The sequence below is a fragment of the Homo sapiens genome, chromosome 1, assembly GCF_000001405.40.
Source record: "Homo sapiens chromosome 1, GRCh38.p14 Primary Assembly".
Classification (NCBI taxonomy): Eukaryota; Metazoa; Chordata; class Mammalia; order Primates; family Hominidae; genus Homo; species Homo sapiens.
In genome coordinates, this window is record NC_000001.11 from 13573845 (window position 1) to 13594426 (window position 20582).

The following is a 20582-nucleotide window of genomic DNA, read 5'->3' on the forward strand; positions in this document are numbered from 1 at the left end:
TGATATTTTCAAACCACAGTTGACTACAAGTAACTGAAACCTTGGAAAGCACAAGCGTGGATAAGTGAGGACCACTAAATCACCAGGACTTATTAGATGACTACACGTTTACCTATTATTCTTTCACTAAGAGGTCCTTAGGTTAACTGGATATACTCAGAAAATGGGAAAATAAAGACATTTCTAATCTCAAGAGAACTTTGCCAATGCATTTAAATAAATTGACTTTATCTTATCACATGCTTTATATTTATTTTCTTTCTTTCTTTTTTCTTTTTTCTTTTTTTATTTTGAGATGGAGTTTCGTTCTTGTTGCCCAGGCTGGAGTGCAATGGCACGATCTCGGCTCACTGCAACCTCTGCCTCCTGGGTTCAAGTGATTCTCCTGCCTCAGCCTCCTGAGTAGCTGGGATTACAGGCATGCGCCACCACGCCTAATTTTGTATTTTTAGTAGAGATAGGTTTTCTCCATGTTGGTCAGGCTGGTCTTGAACTCCTGACCTCAGGTGATCTGCCCGCCCTGGCCTCCCAAAGTGCTGGGATTACAGGTGTGAACCACCGCCCCCCACCCTCCCCGCCCTTTTTATATGTGTTTTAGATACGACGTCTCAGTATGTTGCCCAGGCTGGTCTCAAACTCTTGGCGTCCACCAACCCTTTCATCTCAGCCTTCCAAGTAGCTAGGATTACAGGTGTGAGTCATGGTACCTAATTTACATTTATTTTTATTTATTTATTTATTTATTTATTTATTTATTTATTTATTTTTGAAACGGAGTCTTGCTCTGTCACCCAGGCTGGAGTGCAGTGTGGCGCGATCTCGGCTCTGCTCACTGCAAGCTCCGCCTCCCGGGTTCACGCCATTCTCCTGACTCAGCGTCCGGAGTACCTGGAACCACAGGCGCCCGCCACCACGCCCGGCTAATTTTTTTTGTATTTTTAGTAGAGACGGGGTTTCATCGTGTTAGCCAGGATGGTGTCCATCTCCTGACCTCGTGATCTGCCTGCCTTGGCCTCCCAAAGTGCTGGGATTACAGGCGTGAGCCACCGCGCCCGGCCCCTAATTTACTTTTATTTTTTAAAAACCCATAGAGCTGCAAATTTTACTCATTGAATTAATGGCAAATCTCTCCCATGACACATAATTGTCAAAGCCAGTCTTTATCAAACCATATTTCTTTCTGTCAAGAGTCTAACTTTATTTTCAATTCAAAATAACTTTATTATTATTTGAGGCAAGGTCTCCTCTGTCGCCCAGGTTGAGTGCAGTGGCTTCGTCTCAGCTCACTGCAACCTCTATCTCTTAGGCTCAAGCAATTCTCCCACCTCAGCCTCCCGAGTAGCTGGGACTACAGGTGTGCACCACCATGCTTGACTACTTTTGCATTTTTTGTGGAGACAGGGTCTCACTATGTTGCCCAGGCTGGTCCCAAACTCCTGGGTTCAAGTGATCCTCTTGCCTCAGCCTCCCAAAGTGTTGGGATTTCAGGCATGAACCACAGTGTCCAGCCCAAGATAACTTATTATACACCTTCTTGAGAATTCTAACAGCATCTGAATTCTAATTCTAACATGGATACATGGATAAGGAAGGGAGCCTCGGCCATGAGCCTGTCTCCTGTTTGAAGTGGTTGCTGCAGACTCCACGGTTTCTTGTCATTCTGCCTTCGCTTCGGTCTTTCAGGCTCTCCCTTGGCAGCAACACATCTGAGTCAAGAGCCAGCCTTTGGAAGAGGTCAAGTCATAAAATTAAAATTGTCATCACTCTCGCCGTCTGAATTCAGAATAACCCAATGTGGGTCAAAATATCCCAATTCTAAAGCTGGATTTCACACTTAACAGAATATCCACACGTGAGGAAAAGACAGAACGCTCTCCTGCTGCCCACCATAGGGTACTCTGCTTAAGGGAGGCTGCGCATACACCGGTATTTCAAATTGTCCCTTAAATGCCCTTAGAAGGTTTTTAGCATCCCTTAGGCAATGCACTATTCTAGGATTAAGGAGGACTGAGAAGTTTGTCTTTTTTTTTTTCTTTTTGAGATGGAGTCTCTCTCTGTCGCCCAGGTTGGAGTATGGAAGCACTATCTCGGCTCACTGCAACCTCCACCTCCCAGGTTCAAGCGATTCTCCTGCCTCAGCTTCCCGTGCAGCTGGAATTACAGGCATGCACCACTACACCCGGCTAATTTTGTATTTTTAGTAGAGACAGGGTTTCACCATGTTGTTCAGGCTGGTCTCGAACTCTTGACCTCACGTGATCTGCCCACCTCGGCCGCCCAAAGTGCTGGGATTACAGGCGTGAACCACCGCACCTGGTCAGAAGTTTGTCTTTGTATAGCAAAGTGGAAGAACAAACAATGGGATGGGGAAGTAGATCTGTGTTGAAAAGAACACATATGTTAGTGGAGAATTTGGAAACTGATGCCCTTTGAACTTTTCTGTGTGCGTATGTGTCGCCTGGAAGGGTCACGCTGCCTTCCCGCTCGGAAGACTGCTGCCCTACTCTGTTGACTTTTATTTTTTCTCAGAACATTCAGCATAACCTCTCCTTACCTTTTTTATTTCTGCTCCTATCATCTCTCTCCCACACAGAATGCAAGAGGCTCAGAAACCAGGACCTGGATGCCTTGTTCCCTGCTTTGTCCATGGAGTCTAGGACACTGCCTGGCATACAGCTGATACTCAATAGATAGTAGTCAAACAAAAGAACAAGTAATCGGTGTGGTAGCTCCCTGCTGTTGGTGCCAGTAATAAATATGTGATCAGGCTCCTTGGCTCTGCTAAAGAAAACAGTTAAATATCTCCAGTAACATCTTCCAGAAACCCCTTCATGCCTCTCGCCCATCTCCAGAAACCCTAAACAGGCTGCTCCCATGCAAGGAGAGTTCCGCCCTCTCCAACGCCCAATTCCCCCCTCGCTAAAGGCAGCTTCGAGGCAGGGGCTCTGGAAATCGGATGCTAACACAAAAACTGTTTTCTTCCAACTTTATTAACTTTTAAGCCTTTTCCTGTTTTCCTGTCATGGCCAAACCCACCTCTTGGCAGCCACTGAAGTCTGAATATTTGAATTAGATTCCCGAACAGTGATTAAAACAGATTCGGGACCTCAACAAGACGTTCCAAAATACCAACAAGATCCAGACTATTCCAAAGGGATTGCACCCATTGGAGGGAGGCAGGGTGGGGGCTCACCCGAGGGCCTCATGGCCTCATCTCTGCAGGGGCACCGTCTGCGCCGGGGAGAGAATTCCAGGCTGGGATGGCATGAGGCTTGTGGCGGTGGTGGTTTGCTGTCATCACCTCAGCTGGCAGGATGAAGGGAGAAGTTGCTCTCATGAAGCCTCCAGCAGAGAGAGGCTCCTGGTTAGGTGTTACCAGGGACGCGCGGAGACCTTACCACCATCATTTTCACAAGCCCAGTTTCCACCCAGGGAAACTGAGCGAAAGAAAGGCTGGGACTGGGATCTGCAAGGCCACCACCCTTCCAGAGGGCAGGAAGGTAAATACCAGCCTCCCTCCTGCCTTCCCAGACTGTCCCTGCGTGACTTCCCCATCTCCCACACTGAAACACATTCATTCAGATTGTTTTCCAAGCAGGGTACTGAGTCTTCATAATCAAGGGCTCTCTGAACACACCAATGAAAGGAGCTTTCTGTGTGTATTGGTCTGAATTATAAAAAACATCAACCTCCCCAATGCTTGCCTGTCCATTAAAACTGAGTATTTATCTTAAAAAAAAACAACAACAAAAAACTCACTCCGACTCTATGCTCCCAACCCATTAAAGACCTTGATGACCATCAGAGATACCTGATTCAAATCTGATGCATAGGTCCAGCCAATTTTTTCTTTTGGCTTGGGGGATGGGTACTTTGTAAATAAGCAATGTGTTGTTATGAAGAAAAATTACCAATGGTCTGAGTTCTTTTTTTGCATTTCTTTGGTGTAGCATGGAGCCCAGCATCAGATGTGGAGTAAATAAAATGGGGCGTCTCGCCTTCCCTGCAAAGGTCACGTTCACCCCCTTGACCAGGTCGGTGCTCTTGGTTCTCCTGGAGTGTGTGGTGCTCACTCTGTACACACAGCCACGTCCAGCAGTGGGGCCCAAGGCTTCCTTGGGATGACAAACAACACAGAAGCCTGCTGATCTGCAGAGTTGAATGTTTTCCTTTCTGTTTCATGCAAAAGCCCCATGCTTTTAATAGACCAGTGGAAAACTAAACGTCGCACCTTATTCCTTGTCCTGAGATGCCGCAGGGCCCTGCCTCAGCCACAGAAGATGCAATTGGTGAAGACTCAACCTTTCCCTACCAAGTGAGTGGGTAGAGCTGCCCACTGAGGGGTCGACCACATGTGACGTCTGTCAGATAAGAGGACAGAGAGAGGGTGACTGGCTCAAGCCAGATTCAGGAGACATCACAGCCAGCAAATCCTGTTTGAGCAAACTGAAGTATGCAATGGATGGGATGGATGCAGTGGCTCAAGCCTGTAATCCCAGCACTTTGGGAGGCCAAGGTGGGCGGATCACGAAGTCAAGAGATTGAGATCATCCTGGCCAACATGGTGAAACCCTGTCTCTACTAAAAATACAAAAATTAGCTGGATGTGGTGGCGGGTGCCTGTAGTCCCAGCTACTCGGGAGGCTGAGGCAGGAGAATCTCTTGAACCTGGAAGGCGGAGGTTGCAGTGAGCCAAGATCGCACCACTGCACTCTAGCCTGGCGACAGAGCGAGACTCCGTCTCTATAAATAAATAAGTAAATAAGTAAATATAAAGTATGAAATGGGTACAATGTGTCTTCAGCAGCCCCAGGCTTTCTACTTTGTGTGCTTACTCCTTGGCAGTATCCAAGAATCAAGTACCCATGGTACCTCATCGAAACATCCTCCTGGGAAAGGGAGAGAACCCCATACACGTCGAGGTCTGTGAGACGGACTGTGCTAAGTGTGTGTCCGACTGTGCTAAGTGTGTGTCCTCCCGAGGTGTACTGGCAGCCTAAAAGGCATCCTTAGCCATCAGTGAGTTTGCAAGGGGGAGGGGAAATGTACTGAGATTTGGGGAGGTGCTGGCAGGGCTCTCCCAGCAGCCCCCAAAAACACAGAAGTCACTTACTTGTTTCGTCTTTGGCTGATTGTACATTACATGTCATTGACTCCACCTCCAGCCTCAGGCTGGGCTGAGGTTCTTTCATGGTGAGGGTCTTCCGGTGGGCTAAGGAAAATTACAAGCTTGACTTTCACAAGTATTTATGGAGCAGTGGTAGAGGCAGAGGCCAGAGAGAGACAGAGAGAGAGATAGCTCTCAAAGCTAAGCTCCTGGCTTTGGGAGCTTAGGATATCATCAAAGGGGGCAGAGATAAAGCATAGCTGGGAACACATTGGGCTCAATCCTTTAACTACAGTGGGGTGGCATGAGACAGCCCTATTGCTGGGAGGAGATCCAGCTCCGCAGGGGTACAGGGCAGGGGCCTTCAAATGGTAGATGCACACAGATTTCCCCAGAAGAATGCCAGCAAGGATGGGTCCAAGGGGATCAATTTCCAATGCCTCAATGTTCCTAAGTTTTCTTCTATTTTATAATTTTTTATTTTTTATTTTGTAGAGACAGGGTCTTGCTATGTTGCCCAAGTTGGTCTTGAACTCCTGGCCTCAAGCAATACTCTTGCCTTGGCCTCCCAAAATGCTGGGATTACAGGCATGAACCACTGCCCTGGCTCCTAAGTTTTCTTTTCTTTTTTTTTTTTGAGACAGAGTTTCGCTCTTGTTGCCCAGGCTGGAGTGCAATGGTGCCATCTCGGCTCACCGCAACCCCCGCCTCCCAGGTTCAAGCGATTCTCCTGCCTCAGCCTCCCTAGTAGCTGGGATTACAGGCATGTGCCACCACGCCCGGCTAATTTTGTATTTTTAGTAGAGATGGGGTTTCTCCATGTTGGTCAGGCTGGTCTCAAACTCCCGACCTCAGGTGATCTGCCTGCCTTGGCCTCCCAAAGTGCTGGGATTACAGGCATGAGACACCACACACGGCCCTGGCTCCTAAGTTTTCTACTGAAACTTCTGGGAAAATGTAGCACCTTCCCAATAATCCAACCCCAATTTACAAAAAAACAAACAAAAAAAGCAGATTCTTATCCATCCCATATCTTCTTATGGAGCATTTCCTGGGGTGAAAAAAATCTCTTTAGTCCCAGGTTGGCAGTGTGAAACTGTCTTTCCCCGTGCCGTCCAGAAAACCACCAGGATGGCTCATATTAGAAAGGCTAATATTAGTGGCGATGTCAGTTTACAAATGAGAAAGAGACTGTCTCCAGCTGGACCAAAGGTGCTGTCTTCAAAGACAGCAGGTTGAGTTTTCTGCCTTCCAGGGCCTGTGTTCCTATGTAGCAGGTTTGAAGGAAAGGCTGTCCATTTACACGAGGGGAGTCATGTGCGTGCACGGTGGGTAAACATGCTTGTAACTTACATCTCATGTTCACTTCGGAGCGGGGTTTTAGTTAAAATGAGGTGGCATTTGGTTCTTTACGTCAAAATGTGAACTATAGGACACAAAGACAGTTCGTATGCATCCTCTCTCAGCTGCTGAAACTGGCTTGAGGTGTGCAGTAGCTTATCAGGAGAGAATGTTTGTAAGGCCAGTCCTCTGTCCAGTCAGAGTTGTAGCGGTCTGGGTTATAAATCAGAATTTTGGTCCCACTCAAACCCGTAAGTGTGTTACTTATTCCTGGGCCATAGAGCTGCCTTTGCTGTCAGAGATTCAGTTGTGGGTATCTCAGCTCTGGAACATGGCATATTGATTTTTAAAGTTATTATTATTATTATTATAGAGTAAGGGTCTAGCTCTGTTACCCCAGCAGGAATGCAGTGGCATGATCATGGCTTACTGCTGCCTTGACCTCCTGGGCTCAAGTGATTCTCCCAACTCAGCATCCTGAGTAGCTGGGATCACAGGTACGTGTCACCACACCTGGCTAATGTTATTTTTATTTTTTATAGAAGCAGGGTCTTGCTATGTTGCCCAGGCTGGTCTCAAACTCCTCACCTCAAGTGATCCTCTCGCCTCTGCCTCTCAAAGCATTAGGATTACAGGTATGAACCACTGCGGGTTGGGGGGCTGGTGTCCCATTGTGTGTTGAGAAGCATCTTCCCAGCCAGGTCAGCCCAGGCTGCCTGGAGCAGCTCAGCCAGGTGCTCTCTGGACTCTGCAGAGCCCTCAGAAAAACACAGAGCTTGAGGAGACCCTGATGTGTCATCTCCAGCATCCCCCAGGGTGGAAGGTACCAAACTGGCAGCTCTGGCTCAGCTCCTCATTCCACTGCTGGTCCACACCTTTTGGGGGTCCTCTTGCTTCCTAAAAGCAATTTACAGACGTTTCCCACACAGTCCTGCAAGGCACAGGCACAGTGCTAGTAACAGGCTCAACTCCTGCTCTGCAATGGAAATGCATGACCCCACCGCTCCTACCTTGTAGGATCCCACACAATTTGCATGGTGGCCTCTAAACCCACAGTCCTCAAAGTGGGGACCCAGGACCAGTAGCTTCAGCATCACCTGGGAACTTGTTGGAAATGCAAATTCTTGGGCCCCACCCCTTACCTATTGAATCAGCACTTTGGCAGTGGAGCCCAGCAGTCTTGCCTTCCAGGCAAGCAAGCCCTCCAGGTGAATCCACTCTCAACCTCACTTGTGTAGGAAATGGGTATCATCAATGTTTGGAAGCCAACCGTTGTTTTGGGGCTGAAAGGAAATAGTGCGTGTTCCTGGCAGGAAGATAAAGGCCAGTATGTAGCAGCTGCTGTTATCTCACCAGTAACGCATCATCATTCATGGCCATGGCTTTCTGAGCTTAAGCTGTTTGCCAAGAATGGAGCCACATACCCTCCTTCTTTCCCTCTTCCCCTCAGCTGAGCAGGGTCTCATGCTTCCAGATCCCCTGTGTTTCACTTCAGCTCCTTTAGCTAACCGAGTCTCGCTGCCCAAGGCCCATATTCCTTCTCTCATGAGCTGCTGGCTCTATCTGGTCCAGGAGGGTGAGTTCTTTCTTCCCTCTGGTCTTCAGGTTCCCCCTCCCAAGACCCAGCTTTTCTCTCTAGGTTTTCAGACCAACAGCACCCAGAGCCGATCCACTAACTCCTTCATCCTGGCCCCTCTCCCCACCCCAGGACCCCCAGCTGAATGCAATTCCTTATTACCTCCCACTCCTCCATCCTGATCAAAAGGTCATGTGACCAACCTTCTAGATTCTAGACACATCCGGGGGTGTGGGATAGAAGGCAGGTGTCCTTGAATCATGACCTAGCCTCAGCATCCCTCTAAATTAGTTGCATGTAACCCAATCTCCCCCACCTAGGCTTCACTGTGTTTCAATCTTTTTGAATAAAGCGGGCCATCTTTCTTTCTGTGTGTGACCTTGGAGTTACACATAAGCAGAATAGATGTGCATCTATTCTCCATCTAACAGGCTCAACAGACAATGCACTATTCCTCCTGTCAACAGACATTATTGACACTAGAGTCATAAAATGCATCTCCAAGATGGGGAAGTCAGTTCAAGAAAGAGTATCTGTATCACGAGTTTTCTCTTTACATTTCCAACTCCTTGGCTCTAGGGGTGTTGCCGCTACCCCTCATCTTCTAGGTTCAGGTGCTCAGCTCCTGTTTGTAGCCCCAGGACAAGACGTTACCTGGGAGATCTTTAGAAATGCAGAATCTCTCCCTATCCCACAACAGAATTGCACCTGCATAACCAGTGCCCCAGGTAGATCTGGCTGAGAAGCTATGATGAAGGGCAAGGTTTGCCAAATGTTCATGGGGACAAGTTCTCCAGCGACACTGGTTTAAAATAGGAATTCCGAAAAGGTCTGATTAATGAGTTTGGGGTGGAACCCAGGAAACTGGGCATTTATTTAAAACAATCTCTCCTGTGATTCTTAGAAAGTAAATTTATAATGGGGAGGGGTCAAAGATAAGCATCTGAAAACAATTTTCACGCAATGTGGAGCTTTGAGACAGCGTTAGTCTTCAGGTTCTTTTGTTGAATGGAATTTGTGGCATCTGGGAGTGGAGCAGAGACCACTTCCCAAACTCCTGTTCTTATTTTTTTAAATTCCAGCAATTCAGAAGGAATTAAAGTAAAAGACGTAAGTTCTCTGGTTGCTGATATCTGGTACCTGAGATCAAGGCAAGATCGCTTAAACCAGTAAAGTGAGGATTATGGGAGCAAACTCAGGAATAAAGAGGGTGAACCAGGCCTGGAAGGGGACACAGGTTTGGCGACCAGACGGGTCACCGCTTGGCCCGGCCTAATCCAACTGCGCACGTCGGTGGGCCACAGCATCGCAGCGCTGGATCCCCGGGTCGGCAGAGGCGGATGGAGTTCAGCCTCTTTTTCAAAACTGCCAAAGCCACCCGGTCTGCCAAACTCCCCCACCAGCCAGCTCTGGGGCAGCCCCCCGGAGCCCGCCCGCTCCGGTCCCCGGGACAAGGGCGCAATTGACCAGCGCGGGCCGCCTCTGGCCCACCCAGATGACGGCCAACTTTTTTTGTTTTTAAGCCATCAAATTCAATATTTACAGGAAAAACCCCATGCTTGGTTCTAAAACTACTGGCCACTCAAGAAACAGTTTACTTCTCACTTCTGCCCATAACAAGAAAAACATAGACTTGTGCCTTACTCTTAAAAAAATAATAATAATAAATATAGGTTTTTTAAAATTTATATATAATTTTTAAAACCCCGTTTGTTGCATGTGGTCCCTTTCCCTCCTGTTGTTGAGCAGAATAAAAGCCCATTTTGCCAGGGCCCGCAGTCCTGGCGGCCCCCGCAGCTGCGGCCCTGTAACTTTAAACCTGGCCTGAGATCATCGTTTTGGCGCCGGCCAAACAGAGCCCGAGGGCGGGCCTAGCGCGCCCGGACGGAGACCACCTTGCGGCCGACCCCGCTCCCCCGCCTCCTCGGGAGAGATAAATGCTGACTCCGCTCGGAAAGTTCTCAACTGCAAAGTTTGCTGTCCGGCTGCCTAGGGTCTGGGAAGCTCGGGCACCCTCCCTCTCCGGGGCTCCTGCTCCCACCCCTCCGGCCCCCCCACCGTCGCGCTCCTCCAGGCTGGGCCTGTGGCCGCGGTGCTTTTTAATTTTCCCCCAGCTCAGAATCTTGCTGCTCGGCCCCCAGGAGAGCAACAACTCAACGGGAACGATGTGGAAGGTGTCAGCTCTGCTCTTCGTTTTGGGAAGCGCGTCGCTCTGGGTCCTGGCAGAAGGAGGTAAGACCCAGCGCAAGTGGCTTCCTGCCGTCGCTGATGGGGACGAGCGAGCAGAGACTTGCTGGAATGCCCGGGCCTGGTATTCGAGGTTGTCCAGGGGAGCGCGGGGGAGCTGAGGGTGTGTGCGTGTCAGGCGGCTGAGCGCCGGAGGAGGAGAGGCAGCGGCTTAGTCGGTGCCAGGTCCCAAAGACGCAGCTGCGCGGGTGTGCCGGGAGGAGCCCCGGAATCCACAGGCTGCGAGGTGGGCAGCACAGGGGGCCTCCCTCCGAGTCGGCAGCACCAGAGAGATCGGGTGGAAGGTTCACAGTAGGCAGCCCCGCTTGCTGGCAGCAGTGGCTGGGGTTTCCTTCCCATAGAGCGGTGTGTTGGAGGAATACGCACGCCTCGGGAGAAGCTGGCCTCGTAGAATCAGGAGGGACGTTCAGGAGGGCTTGGGCCAAGGGGAGGGTTCCCCGCCCTGCGGTGGCCCTGGTCCCCCTTGGGACTACCTAGTCTGGCGCCCTGCCTGTTGGACACACTCAGCACCCCGTCACTGGACTGGAAGAGGCCTCCTTTATCCTCTTTAGAGAGGATAGTGTGTGTGGAAAGGATCCAAGTGGAGGCTTCCGAGGAGTGTGAGTGCATGAGGATTGTTACGCGTTACGAACATTGAGGTTTAAGTGGGTTTGAGCCACGTGTTCATCTTGGGCAACAACATCAGTGGCTGAATGTCTGTTGGTGACTCCTTAGGCTTTAAATATTTTGTATCCCATGTTGGGGTGGGGGCGTCCACAGCTTCCATTACCCTTTGTCCTCTCCTGGAGCCTTACCTCTTCCCGCTGGGTTGCTGTGTTGGTGGTCTCCATTGACATCTGTCAACATTTTGTTTTCTTTTCTTGGGTTTTTATTTTTATATTTCCTCAATAGAACATATGTTCTGCAGGACGCAGCTACATCCAGCCATGATTCCCCACGGCCAAAACAATGCCTGGCACATAGTAGTTGCTCACTAAATGTTGGTTGAAGGAATTGTAACCTAACTCGTGATCTTTGGGGCTGGAGGTTGCTGAGTTATGCTGTGAAAAGTAAACATTTTCCAAAAATTGAGGATCAAGGTAGGCCTAGGCCCTGAGGAATACTTCTTGGAGAGGGAGCGGTTTGCAGGAGGGGTGCGCCTAACCTGGCCTCCTACAATGGTCCACACAGACAAAAATACCCAATCTCAGGGAAATGACAGAGTTCTGCTCTATGCTGTGCTGTCTGCTTCAAAGGGACTGAGCAACTCTTTTTATAGGGGCCGTGGGTTATTCGTAGCAGTCCTATCTTTGGAACTTCTCTTTCCACTGGAATATATACAGTTCTGTATTTTCAGTTACATTTCCTTTTTGGCGAGACAATGTGCAAATGACACCGTTTTGTGCTCACCAGGGCAAAGCAAGGGAGCGCCCTCACTTCAGCATCTCAGCCCTGCTAAAGAAAAAGCTGCTGGGTAACATCCTTTGTTTTTGCCCAGGGAAGCTTTAGCTGTGATTCCCTTCAGCCGGCTCCTGAATGTCAAAGGTACTCCTAAAAGATGGCGTTAAAACCGAAAAACCATCGTTGGTGCTGGAAACTCCACTACTAAAGAAAGAAGTGGTATGCGGGGCTGGCTGAGTGAGGGTGGGTGCTGAGTTGCCTGGCTGCCAGAGGAGCAGAGGCCCAGCAGGGTTTTTGTCTGAGAATAATGAGCGAGGCGACTTGAATATGGATGAATAACATCATTGAGCGAAGCTATTGTGGGCTTTTGTTGGGGAGCTGGGCTGGGGGGTAATTATGGTGATGAATTTTATGATCCTTTTCATAAGATCCTACGCCCTACTGGGTTTCCCTCCTCCAGGGTTATAATCTGGTTCAGTTTTATAATCTGGTCCCATGTGTCATCCCTTTGGGTGTTAGTGGATTCAAAGGAGGTCTGTTGTCCACACATCTGGCATTTTTTTCCATTGTCAGGCGCCACCCTCATGCTGAACTTTCATCAGGAAGGCACGTTTTGGGGGCCACTTCATTAGAGAGTTTATTTTGTGAGATTCTGCAAGCTGCTGCTCGCTGCTAACCCACATGTGCTTTTCCGGGACCAATCCACCCAGGATTAATCATGCGGCCAACAAATTTCCCTGTGATTTCCCCGAAACGCTTGCCAGTTTGGAGGCCCTGAAATCCTCATGAGTTGTTAAGAGTTTTTGTTGCACTGAAGGCACTTAATAAAGATCAGGTCTGTTAGAGGCTTTGTGAGGGAGGCCTCTGCATTGCACTGGTGTATAAGATCCAAAATAGCATTGAATATAGAAAAGCACAATTTAAAAAATGTGTCCGGGCATGAGAAGGCTAAGTCTGGACGTGGCCAAAGGGACTAAACTCCTTCCTTTCTTTGGCTTCTGTAAAATGAGCAGCACGCGAGTGACTCTACACTGTAGAATTATAAGGACCTCAAGCCTTGGCAAGACAGTGGAGGGTCAGGCCAAAGGACACAACCATCCTCTCATTCCCATCGCCTGCCATGTGCTAGGAATATTGCTAGCTACTTCTTTCAATCATCATAATACCTGTAAATTACATACTCTTATCTCGGAATATACCAGAACTGGGTTTGAAAAATATGTCTAACTTCAAACCTGAAGATCTTTTTACTACACTACTCTGCCATTAAAAAAAAAAAAAAAAAAAAGAGGCTGGGCATGGTGGCTCACGCCTGTGAGGGGCCGAGGCGGGCGGATCATGAAGTCAGGAGTTCGAGACCAGCCTGGCCAATATGGTGAAACCCCGTCTCTACTAAAAATACAAAAATTAGTTGGGCATGGTGGTGCGCGCCTGTAGTCCTAGTTACTTGGAGGCTGAGGCGGAAGAATCGCTTGAACTCGTGAGGCGGCAGTTGCAGTGAACCAAGATCACACCACAGCACTCCAGCCTGGCAACAGAGCGAGACTCCGTCTCAAAAATATATATAAAAACAAAGTAAAGAGGTTGAACTTGAAATTAAAGGTTAACCTCACTTTAAGCCTCTTAAACGTAGAAACAAAATTTTCTAAAGATACGAGAATTCCTTTACATTAAATGCTCCCCATAATGTTCTTTTAAGAATGAAATTGTCATAATACATTAAAATAGGATTTATTAATTCATTCTGCAAATAGTTATTAAGCATTTCCTGAGTTCTTGGTGTGTTACTAGATGCAGAATTTGAACTGTATGCACTTTTGAGAGAGGCACACCTCACATGCTAAAGTGTGCCCTGCAGTCCTCACCAGCAAAGCAATGAACATGCACTTTCAAATTCCATCGGCTTATCTGAATATTTGTCATATTTCTGGCTTTGGAAAGGAGGCAGGCCAGGTTATAACTTGTGGAAATACGACGGGGGAGGAGGAGGAGGAGGGAGAGAGAACTCAACTACTCAGGATTACCCTGGTGAAATTTATTTGACGAATCTGAATCAGATGCTGTAGGGCTTTTCCAGGAAGCCTTGCCACTCTTGGTGCCCCAAAACTTCTCAGGGAAGTACCCAGTGTGCACGTTTTATTGAAGAGAATCAACTGATGGAGGGTGCTGGACACTTCCAAGTGGACAGTTACTGTGATGAGTCTTAGGATTCTCATTTGCTGGGCAAGAGATACAGCTCCGTGATTAGGCATTTTATCTGGGGCTGTGAGCTAGAGCCCCGGTAGGGAATAACTGGAATTCTGCCAATTCCATCCAAGGCAGGAAAACAAGGTGACTGTTTCCTTCCCACATGTCTAACCCCAGCCCCTGTCCACCGGCCTGTTGGCAGCCAGTCAGATGATGGCAAGCTCCCCTGAGTGTCAGCCGAAAGAGGTAGGAGGGCTCACCCTCCTTTTTGTCTGGCTGAGTGTCTTTGCCTTGAGAATTGCTCAGAGATGGATTTGTCCTTTGAAGTGAATCAAGCTAAGTCCAGGGGGAAGTACGCAGGTATGGCCAACTCGTTCATGTAGTTTTTTGAGGAGCTGAAAGCTGACATTGTGAGGCAATGCTAAATTTCATGAACCCGCCCCCCCAAACACACATACACACACACACACACCCCTGGAGAAAGATGTGATGGGCTCTTGACCCCCATCCAGAGAGGCCAGGCCACAAAGTGCCGTAGGCAATAGAGGGAGACCAACCCTGAGCCACTGGGGTAACAATCACCATTGTTAATGTTTGCAGCATGTACAAATGCCAGATACACAGAGTGTAAATGGGAAGCAGGAAAGGGGCATGCTAGAATATTTTTAACATATTATTGATGAGAACAGGGCACTTCCCACAATTCATCAGGGTGTCTCCATCCGGGAGAACAGAACACAACTCATTTAAAAAGCTGTGATACAGCGAATATTGTCCTGCCCCAAAGAGAAGGGAATCAGTTTGCCTAGAAGAGGAGAAGAATGAGAATTTGTTGATGTTTAAACCTTCCCTGCCCAAAGAATTAACTGATTTAACAAATATTTTTATTATATATAATATAAATATATAACTATATATTATATATTTACATATATAATATATAATATAAATATATAACTATATATTATATATTTACATATATATAAAATATATATATAATATATGTATTTTTTTGAGACAGGGTCTCACTCTGTCACCCAGGCTGGAGTCCAGTAGCACTATCTCGTCTCACTGTAGCATTGACCTCCCAGGCTCAAGCGATCCTCCCACCTCAGCCTCCTGAGTATCTGGGACCACAGGTGTGCACCACCACACCCAACTGTTTTTGTATTTTTAGTAGAGATGGAGTTTCACCATGTTGCCCAGGCTGGTCTCGAACTCCTGAGCCTGCCTTGGCCTCCCAGAGGGCTGGGATTACAGGTGTGAGCCACCATACCCGGCCAACAATTCATTGAATAGCTACTATTCAATAAATATTTATTGAACAGCTATTTATTGAATAGCTACTGTGTAAGTCAGGCAGTGGGGAACAAGGCAAACCCCATCCCTGCTTACCGTTAGTAGGAAAGGTGTCATATGTGGTGACTGGGGATATTCTGATCTCAATCAAGGTGGTTCTGTGATGAATCAGATGTCTTTGTTTTGTCACAGTCTGGAAATTTATTCCACCCGACAGCTCCACCCTTTGCTTTTGTTGTAAATACAAAAAATAGCATCTTGTGGGGTATCTCACCCCTGAGAAGGGCATGCCTTGGACAGCAAATATGCATACAAAGCGTTGGAAAACAGTTTCCTGTTCTAAATAAACTATTTGGTTTTCTGGCCTCTTGTGAGCTTGGCTAATGGGAAACAGTTTGTTCTGAGCCAAATCTCCCCATAAGATTAAATGTGAATCTGTAAAGCTACAGGATCTAGATTCTGAATGGCTGGTGTTAATAGCGCTAACAATATAATAACAGCTAGCGTTTACTGAGTGCTTAGCGTGTGTGAACCCCTTTCTAAGCCCTGTTTCTTTCAGTCCTCACAACAGACTACTCGGCTGGAGCTTCTTGTATTTTATAGAGGAATTAAGAGACTCAGTGAGGTTCAGTAGCCCACACACAGACACGGAGCTTGTAAATGGCAGCAGTGAGACTGAACCCAGGCTGCTCAACCCTAGAGCCCACACCCCTAACCACTTAGCTACACAATCAGCTATGCTTGGAATAGCTTGAATCCGTGCCACTGAGGACACCCAGAAAAGCGAGAGGTTGATTCCTTCAAGTACTTCTTACCTTACGGCAGCAAACCACTTGTATTGATTGATTGATTGATTGATCGATTGAGATGGAGTCTTGCTCTGTCGCCCAGGCTGGAGTGCAGTGGTGCGATCCCAGCTCACCGCAACCTCCGACCCCCAGGTTCCAACCATTCTCCTGCCTCAGCCTCCCTAGTAGCTGGGATTACAGGCATGTGCCACCACGCCTGGCTAATTTTTCTACGTTTGGTAGAGATGGGGTTTCACCATGTTGGCCAGGCTGTTCTTGAACTCCTGACCTCAAGTGATCCACCCGCCTCAGCCCTCCCAAGTGCTGGAATTACAGGCGTAAGCCACCGCTCCCTGCCACCATTTGTTATTTTTACATACATGATTTCTTTCCAGCTTGTATTAACTTTGTTGGTTGCATACATAATGCTGATGATGTGTATCCCCAGTGCTGGGAGTACTGAATCGAAGGATGCTGTCCCTGTCCCCTTAAGCATTTACAGAGCACACACATTAAGTTAGAGAGGAAGCATATGCTGTGATTGTAGCTTGCAAAGAGAGGCAAGACAGGTGCGTGTTTTCTACACATGTAGAAAGAACATACAAGCAACAGATAAAGTCGTGTCCTGCGCGGCACATGCTATTATTGTCTGTTGCTAGGGATTTAGAGATAAGAGAGAATCTTGGGGTTGGGAGGAGCTAGAAAAAGCCTTGTGGGGAAGATGCGACTTTATCTTGGCTGTGAAAAATGGTGGGGTTGGTTGGAGCAGGTGGCAGGGACAGTTGGTCTAGGCAGAAGAAATGGCTTGAACAAATGCATGGAAATTAGATCAGTCCGGGCTTTTTGTGGGAATAGGCGTGGGCATTGAGGGCTGGCAAGAGTTGTGGAGGCTGGGGGTTAGAAGGGTTGAGTTGGGCAATGGCAGGAAACTGGGGAGACAGATGAGTCCGTGCTGAGTGGAAGAGGCGGGACCTTTTTCTGTAGGCAGAAATAGAGAATGGGAGTGGCCCATGAATGCTGGTTGTCAGAAGATAATGAAGAAGGAGCCATAGGAGATTGAATCTAGTTTGTGGGACCAGTCTAGGGGCAGGTGCGGTGGAGGGGCGGGTGGGGGTGGTCAGGAGGTAAAGAGACAAAATGTGGTGACAACAGAAAGCGAGAATGAGACCAAATTTCTTTTCTTTTTTTTTCAGATGGAGTCTCGCTCTGTTGCCCAGGCTGGAGTGCAATGGCGCGATCTTGGCTCACTGCAACCTCTGCCTCCCGGGTTCAAGCGATTCTCCTGCCTCCGTCTCCTGAGTAGCTGGGATTACAGGCACGTGCCACCACGCCTGGCTAATCTTTGTATTTTCAATAGAGACGGGGTTTCATCATGTTGGTCAGGATGGTCTCGAACTCCTGACCTCGTGATCCGCCCACCTCAGCCTCCCAAAGTTCTGGGATTACAGGCGTGAGCCACCATGTGCAGCGAGACCAAATTTCTAGGAATAAAAGCCAGCAAGACTTAACAGTTCAGCATTTCTTGACTTGTTACTAGTCACCTCTTACAGCACTCATGACTATATTCACACGTTTAAATTGATATGTAATTCACATACCATAAAATTAACCCATTTAAAGCAAACAATTCAGTGGTCTTCAGTAAAATCACAGAGTTATGCGACCATCACCACTATCAATTTTAGAACATTTTCATCACGCCCCTTCCCCAAGAGCCCCAAACTGTCAGCAGTCATTCCCATTTCCTCCTCCCCCTAGACCCTGACCGCCATCGATCTACTTTCTGTCTCTATGGATTTGCTTATTCTGGATATTTCTTATCACTGGAATCACACAATATGTGGCCTTTTGTGCCTGGCTTCATTTACTTAGCATGATGCTTACGAGGTTCATCCATGTTATAGCATGCACCAGAATTTCGTTCTTTTAAAAAAAATTTTTTAGAGATGAGGTCTTCCTCTGTCACCCAGGCTGAATAGCAGTAGCACAGTCATAGCTCACGACAGCCTCAGATTCCTGGGCCGAAGCCATCCTCCTGCTTCAGCCTCCCAAATAGCTGGGACTACAGGCGTATGCCACCACACCAAGTTTGTTTAACTTTTTGAGGAACTGCCATTCTGTTTTCCAAAGTGGCTGCACCATTTACAGTTCCACCAGCAATACATGCTGTTCTGGTTTCTCCACATCCCCACCAACACTTGTTCTCTTTCTCTGTGTGTGTGTTTACGTTGTAGCCATTCTAATGGGTATGAAATGACATCTGGTAGTTTCAATTTGCATTTTCCTAATGATTAGTGATGCTGAGCATCTTTTTATGCACTTCTTCGCCAATTGTGTATCTTTGGAGATATGTTTGTTTAAATCCTTTGCTCACTAAAGTTGAGTTAAATCCTTTGCTAACTTTATATTGTTGATTGAAAGCCTCCTTTATATATTCTAGATATTAGACCCTTAAATATATGAATTGCAGACTTTTCTCCCATCCTTTGGACTGGGTTGTCTTTTCAATTTCTTGATAGCAACCATTGAATAGCGTTTAAAATTTTGGTAAAGTTAAATGTATCTGTGTTTTGTTGCTTGTACTGTTGGCGTCATCTAGGAAGCTGTTGCCTAGTCCAAGCTTACAGCGATTTACTCTTACAGTTTTAGCTCTGATATTTGGGTCTTTGATTCATTTAGAGTTCATTTTTGTGTGGGCTATGAAGTAGAGGCCCAACTCCATTCTTTTGCATGTGGGTATCCAGTGGTCAAGGTACCATTTGTTGAAAAGATGATTTTTTTTTTTTTTTTTTTTTTTGAGACAGAGTTTTGCTCTTGTTACCCAGGCTGGAGTGCAATGGCACGATCTTGGCTCACCGCAACCTCCGCTTCCCGGGTTCAAGTGATTCTCCTGCCTCAGCCTCCGAGTAGCTGGGATTACAGGCATGCACCACCACACCCGGCTAATTTTTGTATTTTTTAGTAGAGTCGTGGTTTCTCCATGTTGGTCAGGCTGGTCTCAAACTCCCGACCTCAGGTGATTCGTCCGCCTCTGCCTCCCAAAGTGCTGGGATTACAGGCGTGAGCCACCGCGCCTGGCCAAAAAGATGATTCTTTCTTCGCTGAAGAATCTTGGCACCTCTGTCAAAAATCAATTACCCATAAATGTATAGGTTTAATTCTGGATTAAATTGATCTATATGTCTATCCTCCTACCAGTAGCACCGTCTTGATTACTGCAGCTTTGTAGTAAGTTTTGAAATGGAAGTATGAGTCTACTTTGTTTTTACCAAGATTGCTTTGGTGATTCTCCTGTCTGTATTTTAATTATTTGTGTACATAACTTGTCTCTTAGAGAAGAGAGCACTTAAAAGAGCACGAGGTAGGTACATAGTAAACATTTGGCAGGAAGAAGAGGGAGGAAACACGATAGACACATAGGAATGACAGAAAGCAGATAATAAAAGCATAAAAATCAGGTAGGAGGGATGAGAGATTAGGAACCAACTTGGTAAGGAAAAGGTATTTATACGCCCGGCTTTAGATATGATGAGTTTGAGGTAAATAGTAAGACACCCAATTTGATGATCTGATGAGTACCTGGGAAGACAGTCATCTAAAAGAGTGCCAGAGCTAAGCACTGGAGATGAAGTTTGCTGCTTGAATTTCCCCTACATTAGAACAAAGGGAGAAAAATGGCAAGGGAAGAACAGAAGAGATCCTCTTAGCCAAAAACAACTATTTTCTAAAAATCTACCAAAGCACACTTCGAGGTCCGAAACCAGGCTTGAGATTGAGGCCAAGGGACGCTAGTGGAAACGGCCACATTCTGCACATTCCTGCAGGCCTCATCCTCCTGGGCTCACAGCTGGGCTGTCTGAGCTGCGTGGGGTGGACGGTGAGGTCAGATGCAAAGGGGCTTCTTTTCTCCCTCTTGCAAAATCAGGGCATGCTCAGCTGACAGCCATGAGTGAATCAGCTCAGATTTCCATTCAGTTTCCGAGCAGACGGCAAGTGCTTCCCAAACACACCCCATTGAGAAGCTCTGCTCCAGGACAGCACTTCTAAAGCAGGTTTTTGTCATTTGGTACTAAGTGGCCCTCCCTAGAAGGGGAATGTTCGTGACACCAGCCCTAGCTGAGTTCCAGAAAAGTTTATTACAGAGCTGTGATTTCAGTCTACAAAACTGTGAACTCATTTCCTCTTGGACTGAGAATGTTCTGCTTTGGTCAAGAGAAAAACGTCTCCCCATGTTGAGTAATCTTGGTTGAGGTTGTAATCAGCAGCCTCTAATGTGAACACTGAGCAGTTCTGAGCCATGTTTGTGCTTGATGAGTGTGTTGATTCACTCCCATGAACTCTGAAAACTGTGAATGTCATTCATCCATTCATTCAGGCAGCAGAGACTGTGCTAGTGGCTGGGCCATAAACTTACAGCAGAATGGGGCCTTACCCTCAAGGAACTTGTAGATGCTGGTGGGGAGGAGGTAGTAAATGCCAAAATGTTATCAAATTCTATACTAGTTTAGAGGAGATTACTTTCTCCTGGCAACTTGGAAGAGCGCTGAAGGGAAGGGGATTTTACCTGGGCAATGAAGGAGAGGTGGGGTTTGGAAGGGCACTGATTGAGCTAAAAGGTGAACCTGCAGGTGCCCTTGGCAGCCCCTCCTCAATAATC

The 20582-nt window shown here is 47.3% G+C and overlaps 1 protein-coding gene across 8 annotated transcripts in view, besides 1 other annotated feature; it reads left to right on the plus strand.

Moving 5' to 3' along the window:
- Window positions 9891-10429: an enhancer, noted in NCBI's record as "H3K27ac hESC enhancer chr1:13910230-13910768 (GRCh37/hg19 assembly coordinates)". NCBI's record gives its function as "activates a minimal SCP1, AML or CMV promoter by ChIP-STARR-seq in primed H9 embryonic stem cells {active_cell/tissue: H9 hESC(primed)}" and the evidence as "EXISTENCE:reporter gene assay evidence [ECO:0000049][PMID:30033119]".
- PDPN (podoplanin) overlaps window positions 9913-20582 on the plus strand; it is a 34201-nt gene continuing 23531 nt past the window's right edge. For 2 of the 8 annotated variants that reach the window (XM_006710295.2, XM_047434471.1), the window contains exon 1: window positions 10425-10497. Coding sequence is in view for 2 of the 8 variants with exons in the window: in NM_198389.2 (NP_938203.2) it covers window positions 9962-10256 (295 nt within the window). In the remaining 6 variants the exon portion in view is untranslated. Of the gene's footprint in view, window positions 10257-10424; window positions 10871-11615; window positions 11871-20582 lie in introns of those variants that run through there. The other 6 variants (NM_001006624.2, NM_001006625.2, XM_024451404.2 and 3 more) reach the window with 5 other exon arrangements.